The sequence below is a fragment of the Homo sapiens genome, chromosome 16 (genome assembly GCF_000001405.40).
Source record: "Homo sapiens chromosome 16, GRCh38.p14 Primary Assembly".
NCBI classification, from domain to species: domain Eukaryota; kingdom Metazoa; phylum Chordata; class Mammalia; order Primates; family Hominidae; genus Homo; species Homo sapiens.
In genome coordinates this window covers 26,317,680-26,341,030 of record NC_000016.10, presented here as the reverse complement: position 1 = coordinate 26,341,030, position 23,351 = coordinate 26,317,680, and the positions used below count along the sequence as shown (strand labels likewise).

Here is a 23,351-nt window from a genome sequence, read left to right as displayed (position 1 = left end):
ACCACTCAGGACGGGTTGTTCTGTATGATAATTTCCTATTGATTGGTTTCCTTACGGGAATGCATCTGTTCACTGTTGCATCTCCAGTGTCCAAGTCCAAGCTTGGAGTATAGTGGGTGCTCAGTGAGTGTTTGTTGAGTGAATAATGAATGAAGCAAATGATGAATGCCATAATCCATAATTCACATTTCGATAATACATTCAGGAAGAATTCAATGTTATGGATCACTTTATTTAAAATCTGTAAATGGCTAGAGTTTAGTTGTAAAAGAATAATCAACATTGTTTTCAATTATAACTCATGTATTCAGCATCTATTATATGCCAGGTTCAAGGCATTGAGTTGAACAATGAGTAGAACAAAGTTTGGAGTATAGCAATGCTGTGAAATGCAGAAATAGTGGACCACTCACAAAGTTATCTCAGGAACTTCCTCGGACCTATGGGAAAAGAGCACAGATGTGATGGGCCTTTCTAGAAGGCAAGGTAAATTTTACAGCGGAACTATTTTCAGAGTCGAGTTTACTGGAAAAGATTAATTCTAAAGCCCTGTTCTGTTTCCACAGCCCAGGAGGGTGACATGGAAAAATAGTCAGAACGGTGTGGCCTGTTCTTCCATCCTCAGCAGACCCGAACCTCTGTTTACCCATGTAGTCACAGCCTATAGGGAAATAGACATATATTCTCACACCTGCACAGAAGCATGCACTTTCACAAATGCATTCATTTAGCTCTTCACTCATGCACACACTTGCACAGACCTCAAAGGTGTATATACGCAAGTACTTACACATGCCCAGATATATTCATATACTGGGAAACATGCTCATATAATGATTTTTCTATTTTTCTTCTTCTTTTTTTTTTTTTTTTTTTTGAGACAGAGTCTCGCTCTGTAGCCCAGGCTGGAGTGCGGTGGTGCCATCTCAGCTCACTGCAACCTCCACCTCCTGGATCCTGGTTCAAGCAATTCTCCTGCCTCAGCCTCCCAAGTAGCTGGGATTACAGGAACACGCCACCATGCCTAGCTAATTTTTGTATTTTTAGTAGAGATGGGGTTTCACCATGTTGGCCAGGCTGATCTTGAACTCCTGACTTCGTGATCCGCCCACCTCGGCCTCCCAAAGTGCTGGGATAACAGGTGTGAGCCACTGCACTCAGCCAAAGATGTATTTATTAAGACTCACTTGGACATGCAAAGATGTGTAGGCACCTAGACACTCATCTCTAGGTGAAAATTTCATGATCTTCATACCACGTTTACACACATATATGCTCACATATGGTATACAAACATACACTCTCGTAATTACCCACTTGGTCACATAAACACATACTTCATATATGGATGCATACACTTACTCGTGCTTACTTTCTTATTCACACACAGATATGCTTTACACCTACATAGAGGCTCACATACTGTCAGAGACAGACTTGTGTGACTCCTTGACTTACATTCGTACACATGAAACACCTTCAGCTTAGGCCAGAGGAGTAGTCAAGAGCTTTTGCCGCCTCTCATTTCTAAATTCTGGAGAGAGGATGAGACCAAAAGGATGTCTTTAAGGGACAGATAGAGGGAATGGATGTGATAATCACCCTCCCTGAATTCCCTAGGGAAGTGTGAAGTATTATTCCACGGCACATATCAAAGCAAATGCTGCAACATGGGTCTGATTGAAGTTCACGAATTCTAGAACCCGGTTAGATGAAAAATTATGCCATTGTTTACCATGTTGACTTGAAGTCTTGGGCCTTTTTCTTCCCAGAGGAATGTTTACTTTTATGTTTTTTTCCCACTCTACCTTGAATGCAGAAGTTGACACTAAGTGGAGATAAAAGGCAGCTCTATAAAAAAACACTAGGGCCATTTCTGCCACCTTGCTGGGAAGAACAATTCAGTGAAGGTAGACCCAATCAGGGTGATGAGACCAGGGGAATCACTACCACTCTTTCCATTTCCATAGCAAGACGCAGTGGAAGAATCAATGTGGTATTCTTCCTCGAAAATCCCTTTTGTTGTTCCTTGCTGGGGGTCATCAGGAACTGCTGAGACAGAGGCTGAAATGAGCAGACCTGAGTGGAGGAGTCCGCAGCACACACAGCAGCAAAAGGGGAATTAATTCAAGATCAAGCCTCAAGCTGACACCAGCTAGGAAGACACCAGGGCAAGAGGTTTTAGAAAAATTGACCCAGCACAGGGCCAAGGCACAGTACAGAAATGGGTGACACCAGAGGGGAGGGGAGAGGGCTTGGAATCATAAGAGAGGGACCGAGATTCACAGTCTGGTAGATGTGGAATGAAATCCTTACCCAGGTCATTCTTGCTGTGAAAACCCAGTCAATTTTCTTAACATCACTCATAACATGGATGGAATCACGTTTGCTATGAGAAGTCAATGAAATCCGTATGGGAAAACACCAGATTCATTCATTCATTCAACAGATTAATAATCGTTGATAATAACTCATATTTCTTGGGTGCTTACTATGCACCAGGTGCTATTCAAAAATGGATTATCACATCCATTCCCTCTATCTGTCCCTTAAAGACATCCTTTTGGTCTCATCCTGTCTCCAGAATTTAGAAATGAGAGGCGGCAAAAGCTCGTGACTACTCCTCTGGCCTAAGCTGAAGGTGTTTCATGTGTACGAATGTAAGTCAAGGAGTCACACAAGTCTGTCTCTGACAGTATGTGAGCCTCTATGTAGGTGTAAAGCATATCTGTGTGTGAATAAGAAAGTAAGCACGAGTAAGTGTATGCATCCATATATGAAGTATGTGTTTATGTGACCAAGTGGGTAAGTACGAGAGTGTATGTTTGTATACCATATGTGAGCATATATGTGTGTAAACATGGTATGAAGATCATGAAATTTTCACCTAGAGATGAGTGTCTAGGTGCCTACACATCTTTGCATGTCCAAGTGAGTCTTAATAAATACATCTTTGGCTGAGTGCAGTGGCTCACACCTGTTATCCCAGCACTTTGGGAGGCCGAGGTGGGCGGATCACGAAGTCAGGAGTTCAAGATCAGCCTGGCCAACATGGTGAAACCCCGTCTCTACTAAAAATACAAAAATTAGGTAGGCATGGTGGCGTGTCCCTATAATCCCAGCTACTTGGGAGCTGAGGCAGGAGAATTGCTTGAACCAGGATCCAGGAGGTGGAGGTTGCAGTGAGCTGAGATGGCACCAGCGCACTCCAGCCTGGGCTACAGAGCGAGACTCTGTCTCAAAAAAAAAAAATGCATTCACTCCTTCAATCCTTAGAACAATTGTATGAGATAAGAATTATGATTACTATTACCATTTTATAAGTGAGGGCTTGGAGAGGTTCGGCAACAGGAGAAAGGTCACGTAGCTTAGCCAGGATGTGAACCCAGGTCAACTGGCTACAAAGGCCATATTTTCAGCCACTAGGCTTACTAAGGACCAGAACAGCTCTAGGCACGGGAGATGCTGTGGTGAATCAGATCATCAGAACCCCCTGTTCTGGTGGTGCTTACATTACAGTAGAGAAGAGAGATGGGAAATAAATAAATGAAGACCATAATTTCAGATAATGGAGATGGCCATGAAGAAAATAAAACAGGCTGATGTTGTTAGTGACAAGAAGGGCTAACCTGATAGGGCTTCAGGGCCACCTTCTCCGAGTAAACAAAATTTGAGTTGAGTTGAGATTCAATGACTCCAAGGAGCCAACCAGATGATAATATAAGAACGAAAGGGCCCCAGACCAATGGAACAGCAGGCACCAAGGCCCTGGGGTGAAATGAGCTGGAAGACATCAAGAAACAGAAAGAGGCTGAACTGTATTGAGCAGAGGGAGCTGCTATAAGTTACAAAACAGGTGAGAAAACAGTGATCACATCACGTACGTGAGGATAAAAAATTGGATCTCTCTGAATGCAAAGAAAATACCCCTTGAATAGTTTTTAAAGGAGAATAGAATGATCTAATTTTACTTTTAAAAGATCACTCTGTCAAATGTGTTAAAAATAGATAGAACTCCTGCCTGGCAGAGATTAAGCAGTCAACAAATAGAAGAGCTCCCTCCCTACTCTAAGAGATGCCTGGGGGAAAGACAAGAAAGCTAACGTCCAGAAGAAATGTCCTTTCTCTTCCAAAAATCTTGGATGCTACAGGCTGCTGTAGGGAAAACAGGCTTTGAAACTGTTTTGTTTGACCCTCTGCTACCAGATGGGGTACCTCTCAGAGACAGGAGCTATATTCTATTTGCCAAGTCCCATCCTCTTTTCAGAAGCCTCTTTCCTTGTCCATCCTGGATTTATGTGGTGCTTATCTTATAATGTCACCTGAACCAGGAAGTTTTTTCAAAGCAATATTTGCTAAACATTCAAGTGGACCAAGCAAGTTGGTATGAGGCAAAGATGGTAACCATATATTCCCTGGTCATTAAGGTGTCTCTAATCAAACATTTTTTTTCCTTAGGTTGGCTGCTAAGATATTATTCCCTAGTTCTGATATCTGATTATTGCTTTCTTTCCACTCTGGACTGTGAAGACTGACTCACTCTTTTGGTTGCCAAAGACAATGATGACATAAACACATTTCTTGTCTTTAAAGAAAGAGAGGCATTGGATTGAGCAGGAAACAATGTACTACAGCAGGGATAGAACGCATGCTATCCATGGTCAGCCCCAAAATGCTGGACGTTCTTTTCCATGTGCAGCCGCCTCATCTCATTTCCTTTTCTCTCATTTTTGAGTAGCTTCCCATGGAAGCAGAACCAGACTTGGTAAAGGTCAGAGCTTAACCATGCGCTTGTGAACCTGCACAGAGATCTTGGTTCCCCAAACAAGTGTTGCTCAAAATGTCTTTGGGTCTCTGACTTCATAACGTCAATGCAGTAAGGGCTTAAAAGCCCATCACTAGCTGAAGTCTTGACTGGTAAGGTAGTCCATAGATGGCACAATTGCAAACCTGGATGTTGTCCCAAGCTTCAAAGGGATACATGAAAGTCGAAAAAACAGGGGCAGAAAAGTGAGTGCAGGACTCCTGGTCAATAAGGCAAAACAAAACTTTATGCAAAACCTTCTCTATGCTGTAAAGTGTAAAGTTACTAAATAAACAATTTTAATTCAATAAAATAGAATCTGAGGTCAAAGTTAAAAAGGGTGCCCCTCAGGTAATCTAGAGATGATAAGAGGCTTCCCAGGCTCAGTAAAGAACAGAATTTGACCCTCTGGGGCTGGGGTTGTAATGTTCTTGGAAAGAAACTGTCTTCAAGTCTGTGGCCCCTTATAAGGCTACAAGAAGGAATGAAGATTCCTGGGTAAAGTAAGGCACCAGGAAACACATGCTGAGTCTGTAAACAGGGAGGAGAAACTTCCCTTCCAGCTCTGGGACAGAGCCCAGAAGTGAATGTCTGCCTGAATCGCTGATGGAAAGTAGTGACTCATAAAATATTAGAACCCTGGAACTGCATGAGGTGTATGTAGTAGATGAGCCTGAGTTGTACCTCCTGACACGGGGTAGAAACTTCGAGCCACGGAATTAATGTAAAAGCTAGCCAGGAAGTGAGGAACCTCTGCAGAGACAACCATAAAACCAGACAATAGGAGTCCTCCTAAACCTAGGCACGTGCACGACTGCTGTTAATACCAACTCCTGCTGAAAGCAAGCACACAGGCAAAAATTACCCCAAAAAATTCTATTAAAGACCATGAAAAGACTAGGAGAATTTACTACCAAAGAGATGCTTGCTGAGAGAACCTCTAAAGGCTATAACCCAGCAAGAAGAAAATTGAATCCAGAAGGAAGGAGGAGGATGAAAGAAGCAATAGGGAGAAAAGAAACAGAAAGAAAAAGAAAGTAATAAACACGTTCTCTTCTTGGCCAGACAATGTACAAGTTACTAGGTTGGTGCAAAAGTAATTGTGTTTTTTGCCATTCATTGCACCAGTCTAATAGCAAGTGGACCTTGTTGTGGCTGGTGGAGGCACGTAACTGGATAGGGAAAGACCACTGGAAGCAGGAGGGAACTATGTTTCCTCTCTCACCTCGGTCTTGGTCTTCAGAGCCAGGAATTGATCCTGGTTTTCCTGGCTAAAAAGTCTGTTTACTCACAGAGTCAAAGGGTAAGTGTGTTTGCACAGATTGAGTGCACATAAGAGAAAACCCAGTTTTCTCAACCCACACAGCATTCCAATGCATGCTCTGACCCACCCACCTGCTCCACCAAATAGACCTAAGTATATCATTGTGTTTGGTGCATTAAGAGGCTTAGGGAAATCAAGAGCTTTCTCCTTTTTTTCTCTTCCTTTTCCCTGCAATATCTGCTGACTTAAGCGTGGCCTCCTGTGTAGCATGCATGAGCTGGAGATGGCAATGGTGGAAAAATCACCTGATGTCAGCACTAACCTATGCATTTGGATGTGAACCTGTTGGCAAATTATAGCCTGTCACTCTCAAATGAGTGAGCCGAGATGGAAATGTCAATTTGAGCAGATGCCTTTTCTTCCTCTTTTTTGCACTACAGTTTAGAGAGGTGACACAAATATCACAAAGCACATGCCTAATGCATGAGTTTTAAATTCAATAGTGAAAGGGGGAAGAGAGGAGAAGAACGAGGGTTACAGAAGGATTTCTGTGGTTTATTGAGCAATAAATGTGGGCAATGTAAGGGGAATAACAGGAACTGGAGAGATCAGCTCTTCTTCATTCTGGCAAGATGCAATGAAAAGGACCACGGCTTGGTTACAAATGCAGCCTAGCAAGGATGAGAGAGAGAAAAGAATTTAGCATAAGCCACATGTCGCAGCCCGAGGCAACAGAGTATCAGTGCTTCTGAAGATGTTTTTGGCATGTTGATTGAAGAAGCAACTTTCAAACATGAAGGGAAAGAAACTATTTGGCAACATGTCTGTGGAGGGAACCATGGTCCCATGAAGTTCTTTTGGGTCTCTTTTGAGTCCTATGATATTAAGACTTGAGGGAAAGCAATTTCTGTGCCTTAAGTTCCCCAAAGTGAAGAAACCAGATTATATTATATAAACAGCTTCTAGCAAGCAAAGCATAAGACAGCAATGCTATTTATTTTCTGAACATGTTCCTCTCCCTTTGATGGGCCCCAGGCATGTGGAGCAAAATATAAACACCGAGAGAGAGGGAGAGAGCACAAGAAATAATCAGGGTCTTGACCCTTCGTGATTTCAGGTTCAAGAGGTGGAGGCTCAGGCCAGGGGTCACCGAGAACCTTAGAGGTAAAACCTCAGACTTTATCACTATTTCCTGCCCAGGAGAGCACAAGGTTAGGGTCAAGTTTACAGAAGGGGATTATTAAAGGGATTTGGGGTGAGCTATATTGGATGCCCAGATCAAGGGCAGAGGAGATTTCAAGCTATCCTGACCTGTATTTCTCTCCTTTTTTTTTCCTCTCGGCTGTGTTTCCACAGCTTCTAAGCATCCTATCTTAGTTTTGCTTTTATGCACTTTGATAGTCCAGAAATAATTTGAGCTGGAATCTTTCATCTTTCCCCTATTTGATGTAAGCATTGGGTAAGACTTATATAAATAATAAAAATAACAGCTCACATCTATTGAACACATCTAATGGGAACCAGAGATTAGTTTATTTAATCCTTACAACAATCTTTGAGGTAAATATTAACATTTCCTCTATGCTATTTGTTAAAACTCAGACTCATAGGCTTGTTAAGTCATGGGGCTGAAACTGAACCCAGGAAGACTGACTATAGAAATATAAGCACCACCATACTCCATAAGTTGTTCCATCAAATGTCACACAGACTGCCAAATTGATAGGTAGGAAAATTGCAGCTCTTTGTCACCAGGTGAAAAAAGACACAAAAAGACAGCTAAAGCACCCGTAAAACCTCTGAAAAGAAATATTAATGAATTAGAAGGAAGGTTGCATTTCTAAGATATTTTCACCCCTACCTACCAATGGCATCCCTTATCAGGAATAAGGTATAGATTACTTTGGCAGCTGTGGCAAGCTTTACAAAAAAATTAATAGAATTCCTTTTTCTTGTTCGTGTGTTTTTGAGACGGAGTTTTGCTCTTGTTGCCCAGGCTGGAGTGCAATGGTGGGTTCTGGGCTCACTGCAACTTCTGCCTCCTGGGTTCAAGTGATTTTCCTGCCTCAGCCTCCCAAGTAGCTGAGGTTACAGGTATGCACCACCACGCCCAGCTAATTTTTGTATTTTTGTATTTTTTTTTTTTTGTAGAGACAGGTTTCTCCATGTTGGTCAGGCTGGCCTCGAACTCCTGACCTCTGGTGATCTGCCCACCCCAGCCTCCCAAAGTGCTGGGATTATAAGCATGAGCCACCGTGCCCAGCCCCCCACCTTTGTTTTTTGTTGTTGTTGTTGTTGTTTTAATTTTTTTAACTGCTGTGCTTAAACCATCATTTGCACTCAGCTAATTTTATTTTTTATTTTTTAAATGGGCTTCAGTTTTAGTACAGTTTTAGATGTACAGAAATATTGAGCAGATAATACAGACTTCCATATATGCACCCCACCCCTACTCTCTACCTCTAGCATACCATTTCTCCTATTATTAACATCTTGCATTAGTGTGGCATATTTGTTACAATTTTATACATTACTATTAACTAGAGTCCTTCGTTTACATGATGTTCCTTTCTTTATGTTGTCTGGTTCTATGGGTTTTGACAAATGAATAATGACGTGCATCCACCCTTATGGTATTATGCAGAATAGTTTCACCACGCAGAAAATCTCTAATGCTTCCTCTATTCATCTTTTCCCTCCCTTTGGTAGTAAATTCTCCCAGTATTTATGTAGTCTTTAATATAATTTATTTTGTAATTTTTGCCTGTGAGCCTGCTTTCAGCAGGAGTTGTCACTACAGGAGTCATGCACGTGCCCTTCCACCAAGCCCCCAGCAAGCACTGATTGTTTCCCTGTCTATAGTAATGTCTTTTCCAAAATGTCATCTAATTAGAATCATATGGTGTGTAGGCTTTCCAGACTGGTTTCTTCACTAAGCGAAATACATTTAAGGTTCCTCCATGTCTCTTTGTGGGTTGATAGCTCATTTCATTTTAGCCATTGAATAATAGTCCATTGTATGGATATACTAAAGATTATTCATTCACCTATTGAAGAGCATCTTGGTTGTTTCCAGACTTTGGCCATTACAAATAAAGCTGCCGTAAACGTTCACATTGCAGGTTTTTGTGCATGCATAAATTTCAACTCTTTGTGGTAAATAGCTAGGAGCGTGATTGCTACACTCATATAGTGAGGCTATGCTTAGCTTTGCAAGAAGCTGCAAGCTGTCTTCCAAAATGGCTGCACCATTTAGCATCCCACCAGCAGCAAGTAAGTGTTGTTTCTCTGCACCCTTGCCAGCATTTGGTGTTGTGAGTTTTTTTTTTTTTTTTTTTTTTTTTGGTTTTAGCCATTCTAACAGGTGTGTAGTACTATCACTTTTGTCTTAATTTGTGGTTACCTAATGACATATGGGACTGAGCATCTTTTTGTGTGCTTATTTGCTCTCTGTATATGTTTTTCAGGTGTCTTTCAAATCTTTTGTTCATTTTTAATCAGGTTATTTGTTTTCTTACTGTTGAGTTTTAAGAGTTCTTTGTACATTTTGGATAAAAGTTCTTTAACAGATACATGACTTGTATTGTGTTTCTGTTACTGAGTGTGCTTTTGATGTTGAATCTAAAAACTCACCACCAAACCCAAGGTCACCTCAGGTTTCTCCTACATTACCTTATAGAAGTTTTGTAATTTTGCAATTTATGTGTAACATCTATTTTGAGCTAATTTTTATAAAAGATTCTCTTTTTTTTGCATACCAAAGTCCAGAAGTTTCAGTACCATTTCTTGAAAAGACTATCCTTTCTCCATTGTCTTATTGTTGCTCATTTGTCAAAGATTAGTTGGCTATATTTGTGTGGGTCTACATCTGGGTACTCTATTCTCTTCCATTTATCATTCATCTATTCTTTCACCAATACCTTGTTAACATGATTGTTGTCATTTTGTGGTAAGTCTTAATATCCGATAGCATTAGTTCTCTGACTTTTTTATTCTTCAGTCTTGAGTTATATAGTTGTTTCTTTTGCCTTTCTATATAAACTTTAGAATCAAATTGTCAATATTCACAAAATAACTTGGTGATATTTTGGTAGTAATTGTGCTGAGTCTACAGATTGTAAAGTTGTGAGGAATTGATATCTTAACTATATCAAGTCTTTCTATCAAGGAAAATGAACACCTCTTTATTTAAATGATCTTTGATGTCATCCATCAGAGTTTTATAGTTTTTCTCATATAGATCCTACACACATTTTGTGAGATCTTTTTTTGGTGCTGATGCAAATTATATCTTACTTTTAATTTCAAACTTCAGTTGTTCATTGCTACCATATTGGGGGCAAATTGATGTTTGTATAATGACCTTACATTCTTTGATTTTGCCATAATAATTTATTAGTTCTGGATTTTTTTGTCCAGTTCTTTGGGATTTTCTACATAGGCAATAATATAATCTGCAAACAAAGATAATTTATTTCTTCCTTCCCATCTGTATACCTCTTATTTTCTTTTCTTATGGTATTCCATTAGCTACAAGTTCTGAGATAGTGTTGAGAAGGAATGGCAAGAGGAGACATTATTTCCTTATTTCTGATCTTGAGGTGAAAGTATCAAGTTTCTCACCATTATGTATGAAGTTAGCTGGAGTTTTTTGTAGATAATTTTATCAAGTTGAGGAAGTTTGGAAATGTTCCTGTTTTCCTAGTTTTCTGAGAGTTTGTATTTTGAATGGATGTTAGGTTTTGTCAAATACTTTTTCTACATCTATTAATATAATCATACAATTTTTATTCTTTAACCTGTTGATATGATTGATTACATTAATTGATTTTTAATGTTGAACCAGCCTTGCAAGCCTAGAATAAACCCTACTTGAGGTGTATAATTATTTTTATATATTTATATATATATTTATGTATATTTTATATTTTTTTATATATTTTGTATTCTGTTTTCTAAGATATTGTTGAGGAGTTTTACATCTATGACGTGGGTGTATAGATTTTTTAAAATAATGTCTTTATCTGGTTTTGGTCTTAACATAATGCTGGTTTCATAGAATGAGTTAGAAAGTCTTCCCTCTGCTTCTATCTTCTTGAACACATTGTACAAAATTGGTATCATTTCTTCCCTAGATGTTTGGTAGAATTAAGCAATGGAATTATCTGTGCCTGGATTTTTTCTTTTTAGGAAGATTTTTAACCAAAAAAAATTGTATTTAATAGATATAGACCCCTTTAGATTATCTGTTCCTCTTTGTGTGAGCTTTGGTAGCTTGTGTCTTTCAAGGAATTGATTGATTTTGATATGGACAGAAGGCAGGGAAATTCTAGGTAGAAGAGGGAGGGTCCCCAGCAAGGGCCCCACCCTCAAGCCCAAAAACCTGAAACCACAGCCCAAAGTGAGAACTTACATCCCTGTTTTCCCGCTTGAATATCGCCTTTTCCAAAACCACCCATGGCCCACACTGCTCCCAATCCTGTGCCTATAAAAACCCCAGACCCAGCTGGCAGAGAGAAGCAGTTGGACATTGGAGACTCTGGTTGTACATCAGAGAGAAGCAGCTTGACTTCAGAGGGACAGCTTGATTACATAACTTCAGAGAAGAATCTGGCTGGAGACAGCCGGACTTCAAGAAAGATTACTTTTCCATCACGTCCCCTTTTCAGCTCCCCTTCCCACTGAGAGTCAATTTCATTGGCAATAAAATTCCCCACATTTACTAACCTTCGATTCATTTGTGTGACTTCATTTCTCCTAGATTTCAGACAAGAGCTCAGCTACCACAAGTCTAGATGCAAAAGGCTGTCACACTGACACTTTGCCCTCACTGATGGAAGGCAGCTGCCTCATGAGAAAAGGCAGAGAGTATACTGAGCTGGTAACATTTAAGCCATCTGCAGTCAACAGAGCTAAAAGAGCACTGTAAGACTTTTTCTGGGGTTTCTGGGGATATGGGCACCTCTCTGCCAGATGCTGCTATGGGGCCCTGTGTGGAGTTCACTCCTGCCAGCTCCCAAAAGTGCTTGCTTGCCCTGGCTCCTGCTCCTGCTCACCTGTGTGCTCCTTCCCACAAAGGGGGAAGCCCAGCAGGTCCAAGTGAGTGGAGTTTGCCTCTGCTGGCACCAAAGCAGCCGTCTAGTTCCAGTGACCACACACTCCACTTCCTGCCTCGTTTGCTTGCATGGTCCCTCTCACAAGGAGTTGAGTACTGCAGGCTGAGTCAACAAGGCACCCCTTTGCATGTCCTGTGAAGGGGTCAGGGAAATACCCCACTTCAATTTTATCTAAGTTATCAAATTTGGAGTCATGGAGGTATTCATAATTTTCTTTATTCTCCTTTAAATGCCCATGGGCTCAATCATGGTGTTCCCTCTTTCATTTCTGATGTTAGTAATTTGTGTCTTTTCCATTTTTTCTTGGTTAGCTTGATGAGAGGTTTATGAATTTCATTGATTTTTTCTAAAAAAACTGATTTTGGTTGAACTGATTTTCTCTATTAACATCCAGTTTTCAATCTTACCATTTTCTGTTTTAATTTTTATTATTATTTCCTGCTGTTTGCTTTAGGTTTATTTTGTTCTTCTTTATGTAGTTTCCCAAGGTAGAAGCTTAAATTATTGATTTTGATCCTTTTTTTTCTTTTCTAAAATACATATTCAATGCTCTGTATTTCTTTCTAAGCACTGTTTCACTGTGTCCTAATATTTTAATATTACCATTTTGTTTAGTTTAAAATATTTTTAAAAATTTATCTTGAGACTTCTTCTCTGACCCATGTATAATTTAGAAGTGTGTTATTTAATCTTCAAGTATGTGGGGATTTTTTGAGCTGTCTTTCTGTTAATGATTTCTAATTTAATTCCATTGTTATTTGACAGCACACTCTCAAACTTGTTAAGGTGTATTATACAACCCAGAATGTAGTCTACTTGGTGAATTTTCTATATGAGCTTGAGAAGAATGCATCCTGCTGTACTGGATGGAGTACTCTACATATATTAATTAGATTCAGTTACTGATGGTGTTGTTCAGTTCAGCTGCATCCTCACTGATGTTTGTGTGATAGATTTGTCAATTACTGATAGATGGGTGTTGGAGTCACCGGTTTTAATAGTGGATTTATCTATTTCTCCTTTCAGTTCTATCTATTTTTGCCTCATGTAATTTGATGCTCTGTAGTTAGTTGTATACACCTTAAAGATTGTTATTTCTTCTTGGAGAATTTGTTCCTTTATCATTATGCCATGCTCCTCTTTACTTCTGACAATTTTATTTGCTCTAAAGTCTGCTTTGATTGAAATTAATATAGATCCTCCAGGTTTCTTTTGATTAGTGTTAATGTGTTAGAATAGTATATCTTTTTCCATGCATTTATTTTTAATCTATCTGTGTATTTATATTTAAAATGGGGTTCTTATAGAGAACACATAGATAAATCTTGGCTTTGTTTTAAAAATAATCCAATGTGACAGTCTCTGTCTTTTAACTAGTATATTTAAACTGTTCACATTTAAGTTTATTATTGATATACCTGGATTAATATCTATCATGTTTGTAGCTTTTTCTATTCATTGCACTTGCTCTTTCTCTTTTCATTGCACTTGCTCTTTCTTTCTTATCCTCCCCTCTTTTTCTGCCTTTGCTGGTTTTAATAGAACACTTGATATAACTCCATGTTCCCTCTTCTCTTAGCATATCAATTATATGTGGTGGAGGATGGGGTGTGGGAGGTAAAAAGTTAACAGGTACAAAAATACAATTAGATAGAAGGAATATGTTCTGGTGTTAAATAGTACAGTAGGGAAATTATAGTAAACAATAATTGTATATTTCAAAATAGCTAGAAGAGAAAAAGCTATAATGTTCCCATCACAAAGAAAAGATACATGTTTGAGGTGATGGATAATATAATTACCCTGATTTGTATTAGGGTACATGGTATCAGGGTACATGTTGTACAATGTTACAGGTACCAAAATATCACATCTGCCACCCAAAAATGTACAATTATTATATATTGATAAAAATAGTGGCTGCTTTTGAGTGTAATACACATTTTAAAATAATCTAATTATGCTTTTAAATAATACCTCTCTACTTCATAGGTAGTGAAGGTACCTTATACCACAGTATTTCCAATTCATCCCTCTTATCTCTTATAATACCAGCCTGTTCATTTCATCTGCTATACTCAACCAATATATTGTTGCTATTATTACTTTGAACAGCTATCTTTTTAGATCAATTAGAAATTACAAAAATAAAAGATTTCATTTACCTTTCACTGATTATTTCTCTATTATTCTTCCTTTCTTTATGTAGATCTGAGTTTCCGACCTATATCATTTTTCTTTTCTCTGGAGAACTTTTTTCCTTCCTTCCTTCCTTCTTTTCTTCCTTCCTTCTTTCCTTCCTTCCTTCCTTCCTTTCTTCCCTTCTTCCCTCCTTTCCTCCTTCCCTCCTTCCCTTCTTCCCTCCTTCCTTCCTCCTTTCTTTTGAGACAGGGTCTCACTCTGCTGCCCAGGCTGGATTGCAGTGGCATGATCTCAGCTCACTGCAACCTCTGCCTCCTGGGTTCAGGCAATTCGTGTGCCTCAGCTTCCCAGGTAGCTGGAATTATGGGTGTGCACCACCAAGCCCAGCTGATTTTTGTATTTTTAGTAGAGACAGGGTTTCACCATGTTGGCCAGGCTGATCTGGAACTCTTGACCTCAAGTGATCTCCCTGCCTCATCCTCCCAAAATTCTGGGATTACCGGCATGAGCCACTGCACCTGGCCTTCTTTTAACATTTCTTGTAAGCAAGTCTGCTCACAACAAATTTCCTCAGTTTTTGCTTGTCTGAGAATATCTGCTCCTTTACTTTTGAGAAAAAAATTTGCTTGATGCAAATGTCTATGTTGGTGGAGTTTTATTTTTTTCAACCCTGAAGATCTTATTCCACTCTCTCCTTGCTTGCGTAGTTTCTGATGACAAATCTGTTGCAATTCTTATTCTTGTTTCTCTGTAGAGAAGGTGGTTGATTTTTCCCTCTCGCTTCTTTTAAGCCTGTCTGTTTGTCTTTAGTTTTCTTCAATTTAAATATGGTATGCCTAGATAGATATTTTGATAATGATGGTTGTTGTTCTCTGAGATTACTATGCCTGTGGTTTAGTTTCTGTCATTAATTTTGGAAAATTTCCCATCACTATTACTTCAAACAATTTTTCTGCTACTTTCTTCCTTCTGGTTTTCCAACTTTGTATGCATTATACCTTTTAAAATTGTCTCACAGTTCCTGGATATTCTATTATTGATTGATTGATTGATTGATTGATTGATTCATTGATTTTAGAGTCTCACTCTGCTGTCCAGGTTGGAGTACAGTGGCATGAACTTGGCTCACTGAAGCCTCCACCTCCCAGGTTCAAGTGATTCTCCTGCCTCAGCCTCCCGAGTGGCTGGGACTACAGGCACACACCACAATGCCCAGCTTATTTTTGTATTTATAGTAGAGACGGGGTTTCACCATGTTGGCCAGGCTGGTCTCAAACTCCTGACCTCAAGTGATCTGCCTGTCTCAGCCTCTCAAAGTGGAGCCACCATGCCTGGCCTGTTTATTACAGGTGTGAGCCACTGTGCCCGGCTTGTTTATCTTTTTTTGCATTTCAGTTGAGAAAATTTTTTATTGACAATACATCCAGCTCACTGATTCTTTCTTCAACTAACTGATGAGGCCATCACAATTTATTTCTTTGTGATGTGATTATTTTGATTTCTATCATTTCATTTTAATTCTTTCTTATATTTTTCATCTATTTGCTTACATTATCCATCTAATCCTACATGTTGTCTACTTTTTCCATTACAGCCCCTAGCATATATGTAGTTATTTTAAATACCTGGCTTGATAATTCCCAAATCTCTTCCATATCTAAGTCTGGTCTGGATGCTTGTTTTTTCTTTTCAGACTGTGTTTTTATTTGTCTTTGAGCACGTTTTGTAGTTTTATGTTGGAAACTGAACATGACATATTTGGATAATGACAACAAAGGTGGATATGCATTTACTGAAGTTTTCTGTTTATCAGGCTAGGAGTTAGGTTGTGTTTACCATTTTATACAGCTGTAGGAGTCAGAGGCTCACATTTACTTTAATGACACTTGTTTTTGTCTCCCTGGTTGTCTCTGGGTTTCCCTAGAAACTCCTTCTTAAATAAAACTAAATCTTATAGCTCTTTTAGCTGTAATCCACTATTATTATACAGGAGCTCTATAATGCAGTAAGATGTGGGAAAAGGTGAGGTGTTCTGTAATCCTATGATTAAGCTTTAGTCTTTTAGGGAGTCTGTTACCTCTAAGATGCCTCTAAGCTTTATATCTTCTGTTTAGTGGGACAGGAAGGCTACAGGGAGCTGGAGTTGGGTATTTCTTTTTCTTCATTTGGGAGAAGAAACTAGTAAAGTATTTTCCCTTCCTGGGTAGATCTTTGTTATGGACAAACCTGTGGGCTTACATCAGAATGGCTACTTTCTCTTCCCTTGAACAAACGTGAGGGATTTTTTCACTGTTTTTCTCTGATCTTCATTGTGGGAACCTAGTGGGACTCCTGGAGATAAAACACACAGAAGCGTGGAGACCTCCCTCAAACCAGGCTCTCAATCTGGTCCACACTCAGCTTCCAGTAAGTCATCAAAGGTACGGTTTAAATGTTCCTACCTGTCACAGATTCCAGCGGCCTCTGCTTCAGGTAAGCTGATCTGCTTCCTCTCTGTATTTTTCCTCTCTCCAGTTTTCAGGGTGGTAGTGTGTCCTGCAATCTCAATTCTTTAATGGATCTAAGAAAAGTCATTGATTTTCAGTTCAGCTGTTTTCTTGTTGTGGTGGAAGGAAAGATGGCTTCCAAGCTCTTTACATATTGGAGTTAAAACCAGATGCCACAAACTCTTTAAAAACATAAAGCAGGTCATTTCTCTGGTTCATTCATATGGTATTATGAATGTATTATGATATAATAGAAATGAACTATTGATATGTGTGATAATATAGATAACTCTATAGTTTTTCGTGGAAGAAGCTAAACACAAAGAAGACCCTTTATATGGTTCCATTTATATAAAGTTCAAAAACAGACAAAACTACACCATGGTACTGTATTATAATGGATTATGATGGTACACTGTGAGGAGGAGAAAGTGAATAACGATTGTGAAGAGGAATGCAGGCAATTCTGAAGCACTGAAAATTTTCTATACACTGAATTTCTTAGTTTATTCCCCCCCTCTTTCTTTTGTTATACTTTATAAATTTTTAATTTCTATGGGTACATAGTAGGTATATGTATGTATGGACACATGGAATATTTTGATACAGGCATACAATGTGTAATAAACACATCAGGGTCAATTTGGTATCCATCACCTCAAACATTTATCATTTCTTTGTGTTACAAACTATACTCTTTCAGTTATATTTTTAAAATGTACAATAAATTATTATTGACTGTAATTACCCTGTTGTACTATCAGATACTAAACCTTATTCATTCTGTCTAGCTGTATTTTTGTACTCATTAACTACCCCTCTTCCCCCGCTCCCTGCTGTTTCTCTCATAAGTCCAGTCCTTTGCAGTGGCTTTGCCTCAGTTTCCAGGTTTGGATATCCAGGTCTACAGTAGTTGGAGAAAGGCATGGGGTTTAGGGAAATCACAGCCCCGAGGCTTCTTGGCTGCATTCTAATACTGTCTGATTCTGCCTTTCTCTAATACCAAGATTACAGAAAATTTCAAAAACTTAGAAAATCCACCCATAATCCCATCCTCCTAAAACAAATGCTGTCCAATTTTTAGGTACTTTCATTTTTCATCCTTTGTCATTTTATTTTTTTAAATGTGGTAAATACACATAACATAAAATGTACCATTTTAACCACTTTAATGTGTACAACGTAGTGGCATTATTACATTATTATATTATTACAATGTTGTGCAACCATCACCCATATCTTGTTCTGGAACATTTTTATCACCCCAAAAGGAAACCCATTTTATGCATTAGCAGTCACTCCACATTCTTTTCTTCCTCCAGCCTGTGGCAACCACTATGCCTGTCTTTTGGTCTCTATGAATTTGCCTATTCTGGATATTTCATGCTGTCTGTCATATTTTTTAAAAAGTGCAACTATAGCATATAAGTATATTTAGATTTATTTTAACTTAAGATTATGCTTCAGGTATTTTTCCATGTAAACTTAGTGACTTTCATATTAAGTGCTGCAGAATATCCTACTGGGAAAATGTCATAGCTGACTTAATAATTTTCTATTTGGGAATTCTTGCAAACATTTTCTGTGTTTTTTTTTTTTGTTTTGCTGCTATAGCTAACACCATAATGAACATCTTTATGCATATAGTTTTTTCCAAGTTGTAGTTATTTCTTTGGAATTGGCTCTCATATGTGGGACACCTGGATAGAATCATGAAGCATGGTGGTAATCTTCAGGCTTTCTTTCAACATCTCCAAATTGCTTTTTAAATAAGGTTATATTAATTTTCAACATTACTGGGCATACAAGATGTACCTATTTCACTGTATCCTTGGCAGCAGTGGTCATAATCTTCCATAATTTATTTTTTGGAGTCTCCTTGGTTCGTGACATATGACTTTGAAAAAAGAAGATGTTTTCAGCTCTTCCATTCTGTCACCACTGGCAGAGTGATTTTCTCAGAAAAACTGGCATATCAAGCCAGATAACATTTCCAATTTATCGCTCCTGTGAAAGCGGCTGCAGGATAAGAACAAATACAGTCTGTGTTCAATCTATTCAATTAGAACAGAACAAGGAATTTATTTCAACACAGACAAATCAGCAAATCCCATTCTGTTTGAATCCCACTTAGCATTTATGTAGGCTTAATTAAATCACCGTTGGGGTTTCTTACAAAAAGAACCACCTTCAGGAAATATACTTGCTAAATACTCTTCAACAATGGTTGGGGGGAAATAAATAAGTAATGTGAGTTGGTTCTCAGAGCCACTGACATCTCCTCCAAGTTTCTGATCTCTGCTAGAACTGTGAGCTTATAAGCAATCAAGCAGCTGATGCTGGTGTGTGGGGCAGGGTTAGTGGAGTGGGATATTTTGTGACTCCATTCATAAGCATCATGCCCTCTGCACTGTTCTATCAGCACCTGTCTTTAGCAGCAAGCATGCCTTCTAACACAGGACCAGAATTTTTCTCATATAAACAACCCAGCCCTCAACAAAATGGACAGCCAGCCAGAAGGGAGGGAAGAAGGAGTCATTACCAACAGTTCTTGTGGAAACTGATGGCTCATTTCATTCTTACTGCCTAGCTGGCTTTCCAGCCAAGCACACTGCAAAATCCTCCTTCTCCCACCTCCATTTCTCTCTCTCTCTCTCTCTCTCTCTCTTTCTCTGTCCAGTTAGAAAGTGCTAAATAGGTCGGGCATGGTGGTTCACCTCTGTTACCCAAGCACTTTGGGAGGCCGAGGTGGATGGATCACTTGGAGTCAGGAGTTGGAGACCAGCCTGGCCAAGATGGTGAGACCCCGTTTCTACTAAAAATAGTCAGGCATGATGGTGCACACCTGTAATCCCAGCTACTCAGGGTACTGAGACAGGAGAGTTGCTTGAACCCGGGAGGCAGAGGTTGCAGTGAGCCGAGATGGCACCACCGTACTCCAGGCTGGGGAACAGAGCAAGACTCCATCTCAAAAAAGAAAAAAAATTGCTAAATATTGTTATTAGTAACAGGGCCTCTCTGCAATTAAGACAGCATGTTAATACTGGAATGTGGTAATGAACTATCTAAGTCAGTATGACAATATTCTGAGGAGCTCAGGGACATCTATTACCCTGTAGACTTCATTATTGATCAGTTGAACATCTCATTACCTTTCTGCTATGGGCTAAGCTATACTTACATAAACTGGTTTGACTATACCCAAAGAGGGAAGTACTATAATTATCCTCATAGAAATATCCCCTTAGAAACAGGCTAAGAGAAATTAAGGGATGACAGTTTTACGCAGATCTTTCCTGACTGATGTGTGAATTCAAGCTTTTAACTCCTACCCTGCACCTAGACTCTGGAGAAGAGAAAGCTAAGGATGACTGTTGTCGTAGAAGAATTTCTATTGAATGAAGCCCCAGAAATTCACCAACACAATTACCTATGTGTATTCTCTCCTGATAAAGCTTGGATGTCTTTATTTTTTTTTATTTTATTTTATTTTCTTATTTTATTTTATATTTTAGAGACAGGGTCTAACTCTGTCGCCCAGGCTGGAGTGCATGGTATGATCATAGCTCACTGCAGCCTGGAAATCCTGGGCTCAAGTGATCCTCCTGCCTCAGCCTCCTGAGTAGCTAGGACTACAGGCATGCACCACCATGCACGGCTAATTCCTTATTTTTTAGTAGAGAAGCATCTTGTTATGCTGCCCAGAGTGGTCTCAAACTCTTGGCCTCAAGTGCTCCTCCCACCTCAGCATCCTGAGTAGTTAGGGTTACAGGTGTGTGCCACCTTGCCAGGCTAATTTTATCTTATTAGTAGAAACAGAATCTTGCTTTGTTGCCTAGGCTGGTCTCAAACTCTTGGCCTTAAGTGATCCTCCAGCTTCAGCCTCCCAGTGGGCTCTGAATTTTAAAGCCCTTAGGAGAATCTTGCAGCCAATTACGCCTTAGAGTGTGATCCAGCATATTGATCAGCAAAAGATTGGCAGAGTAAGAGGAATTTAAAAGACTGTGCTTCCGTTAGTCAAACTTTTGTCCCCCTAACTTTTCATTAAACTCCCTGTCTTGAAGAGTTTTGAACTAATAGTTTTAGGGAACTACTGCAAACACATTTCTTCCCACAAAGGCTAAGGGAACCTGGGAACCAGCTCGTCCATCCTTCTCAATCTACCGATGAGGATCTATGAAGGGAAATCATCCTGGCCGGATCACATGGCGCGAGAACCAGCTCTTCAGTGCTTATATTCTGAGCCTCATGTTTTCTCTGGGAGATCAATAGCATTTCTACTCTCTTTGAAAAACAGGGAATGGCATTTCCCTGGGTCCGATGAGTTCCGACTCAGACAATTCGTATTTACAAAGATGCTAACTCCGTTTGCTTTGCTTTGCAGGCCCCAGGTGGTGGTGATGGGGTAGGTTAATAGCGTCTTTGAATATGAAGACGTGGGAATTGGAGAACAGCTGAGTGTAATAGAAAAATAAAATTGAAAGTTGAAGACTAGGGTTGGGATCCCCATTCTACTGCTTGCTACTTGTTCCATCTTGAAGAGCTGTATGACCTCTCTACCTCTGTGCTCTCTACCTCTCTACCTCTGTTCACCACTGTATCCCTGGTGTCTTGGGCAGAGGCTGATACATACTAAGCAACATATACATACATTCACATATAAAGTATTGTTCTTTTAAAAAAAATTTACTGGGCCGGGCGCGGTGGCTCACGCCTGTAATCCCAACACTTTGGGAGGCTGAGGTGGGCGGTTCACGAGGTCAAGAGATCGAGACCATCCTGGCTAACATGTTGAAACCCTGTCTCTACTAAAAATACACACACACACACACACACACAATAGCTGGGCACAGTGGTACGCACCTGTAGTCCCAGCTGCTCGGGAGGCTGAGGCAGGAGACTCACTAGAACCTGGGAGGCAGGGGTTGCAGTGAGCTGAGATCACACCACTGCACTGCAGCCGGGGTGACAGAGTGAGTCTCCATCTCAAAAAAAAAATTTATTGACGCAATAATCATCATTATACTCTCTGTTATCAGGCTGTGGGGCTCAACATCACGCTAAATCTGTGACTGTAGAAAATAATGTAATATTGCTAAGCCTCAGTTTTATTGTAAAGAAAATAAGGATAATAATGGGACATTCTCCAGGGTTGCTGAGAAGACTAAATGAAAGAATGCAGATATAGAACCTGACACTGAGTAAACACTTAAACTTTGTTACTACATCTTTTTTTATTTTTTTTTTTTTTAAGACAGAGTCTCTCTCTGTCACCCAGGCTGGAGTGCTGTGGCATAATCTCAGCTCACTGCAACTTCTGCCTCCAGGTTTAAGAGATTCTCCTGCCTCAGTTTCCTGAGTAGCTAGGATTACAGGTGTGCGCCAGGACACCAGGCTAATTTTTGTAGTTTTAGTAGAGACAGGGTTTCACCATGTTGACCAGGCTGACCTTGATCTCCTGACCTCAAGTGATCTGCGCATCTCAGCCTCCCAAAGTGCTGGGATTACAGGTGTGAGCCACCATGCCTGGCCTGTTACTACATCTTTCTATGTACACATGGAGATGGGGTGCCCAGAGATGGAGAGGGAAAGTTCAGAAGGAATATTTTGAATGGACTTGGGTGCCACCGTGGAATTGAACTTACTCTTATGGACATCAAATTTTAGAAAACTAATTCTTAATTGTGTGAGTCTTGGGAAGCCTATTTCTACCATGCTGGAAATGTGTCCAAGGCAGGCATGTCAGGAAGGGGAATGGTGCTTCTTTTTCTCCTTCCCTCCTTTTGTTCACTCTCCCTCCCTCCTTCTTTCCTTCCTTCTTCTTCCTGAACATCAGATGGTCGATTTATTTTGCAGTTTTTCCTCTTGGTTGCCAAATTCCTGATTAGCTACCTCTCCCTCAAGCAATTGCCTAACTCAGACAAACTAGGTAGTGAACACAGGAAGAAGTTTAAACCCACCTCACTTGGCAGAAAAGCAAGCCCTCCTAATCTTATTAAAATTTCCTGTTCCTTTTCTCCTCCATTCCTTGTCACCAAGGTAGCTGGAGCCTCTGTCTTTAGCCTTATCCTCCTCTCATCCTGTCTGATTCATGTGTTGATGTCTTGACTCTGAGCCAGCTGCTACAATGCATTGTGATATCACAGGCAGGATTTATTAGCAGCAAAAGCAGCTGTCAGGAGAGAGTAGGAGAAGGTAGGAAATGTTCCACAATGAGAGAGATAGGCCAGCTCAGACTAGGACAATGGATGAGACTACTGCTGTACTGTTATTTATTAATACCTTTTAAAAAAACAATAAAAGCTTATGAACTAAGTGATTTTAAACACATTAGCTTCCATTTTATTAATAACACTATGAGGCATGTATTATTATTCCCATGTTAGAGATGAGGAAGCTAAGATTCGGAGGCATTAGTAGCTTGCCCAAGTTTGCATATTTAGTCATTAATAAAGCTAGGGTATAAACTTAGGTCTGAGGAAATATATTAATAAATTATGTGCTTTTAACCTGAACTTTCTCCCATGCAAAGGACCTCC

The 23,351-nt window shown here is 39.7% G+C and overlaps 1 long non-coding RNA gene across 2 annotated transcripts; it reads right to left on the bottom strand.

The window, feature by feature from the left end:
* Positions 1 to 285: 285 nt before the first annotated feature.
* Positions 286 to 22,898, bottom strand: LOC102723536 (uncharacterized). Of its 2 annotated transcripts, none has more exons than NR_188595.1 (4): positions 22,773 to 22,898; positions 18,628 to 18,831; positions 16,768 to 16,994; positions 286 to 440 (listed from the first exon to the last, which is right to left on the bottom strand). It is a non-coding gene; the product is annotated as an uncharacterized LOC102723536 (long non-coding RNA). The 2 variants fall into 2 exon arrangements; NR_188594.1 differs by lacking the exon at positions 286 to 440 and adding an exon at positions 6,603 to 6,739.
* Positions 22,899 to 23,351: the final 453 nt, after the last annotated feature.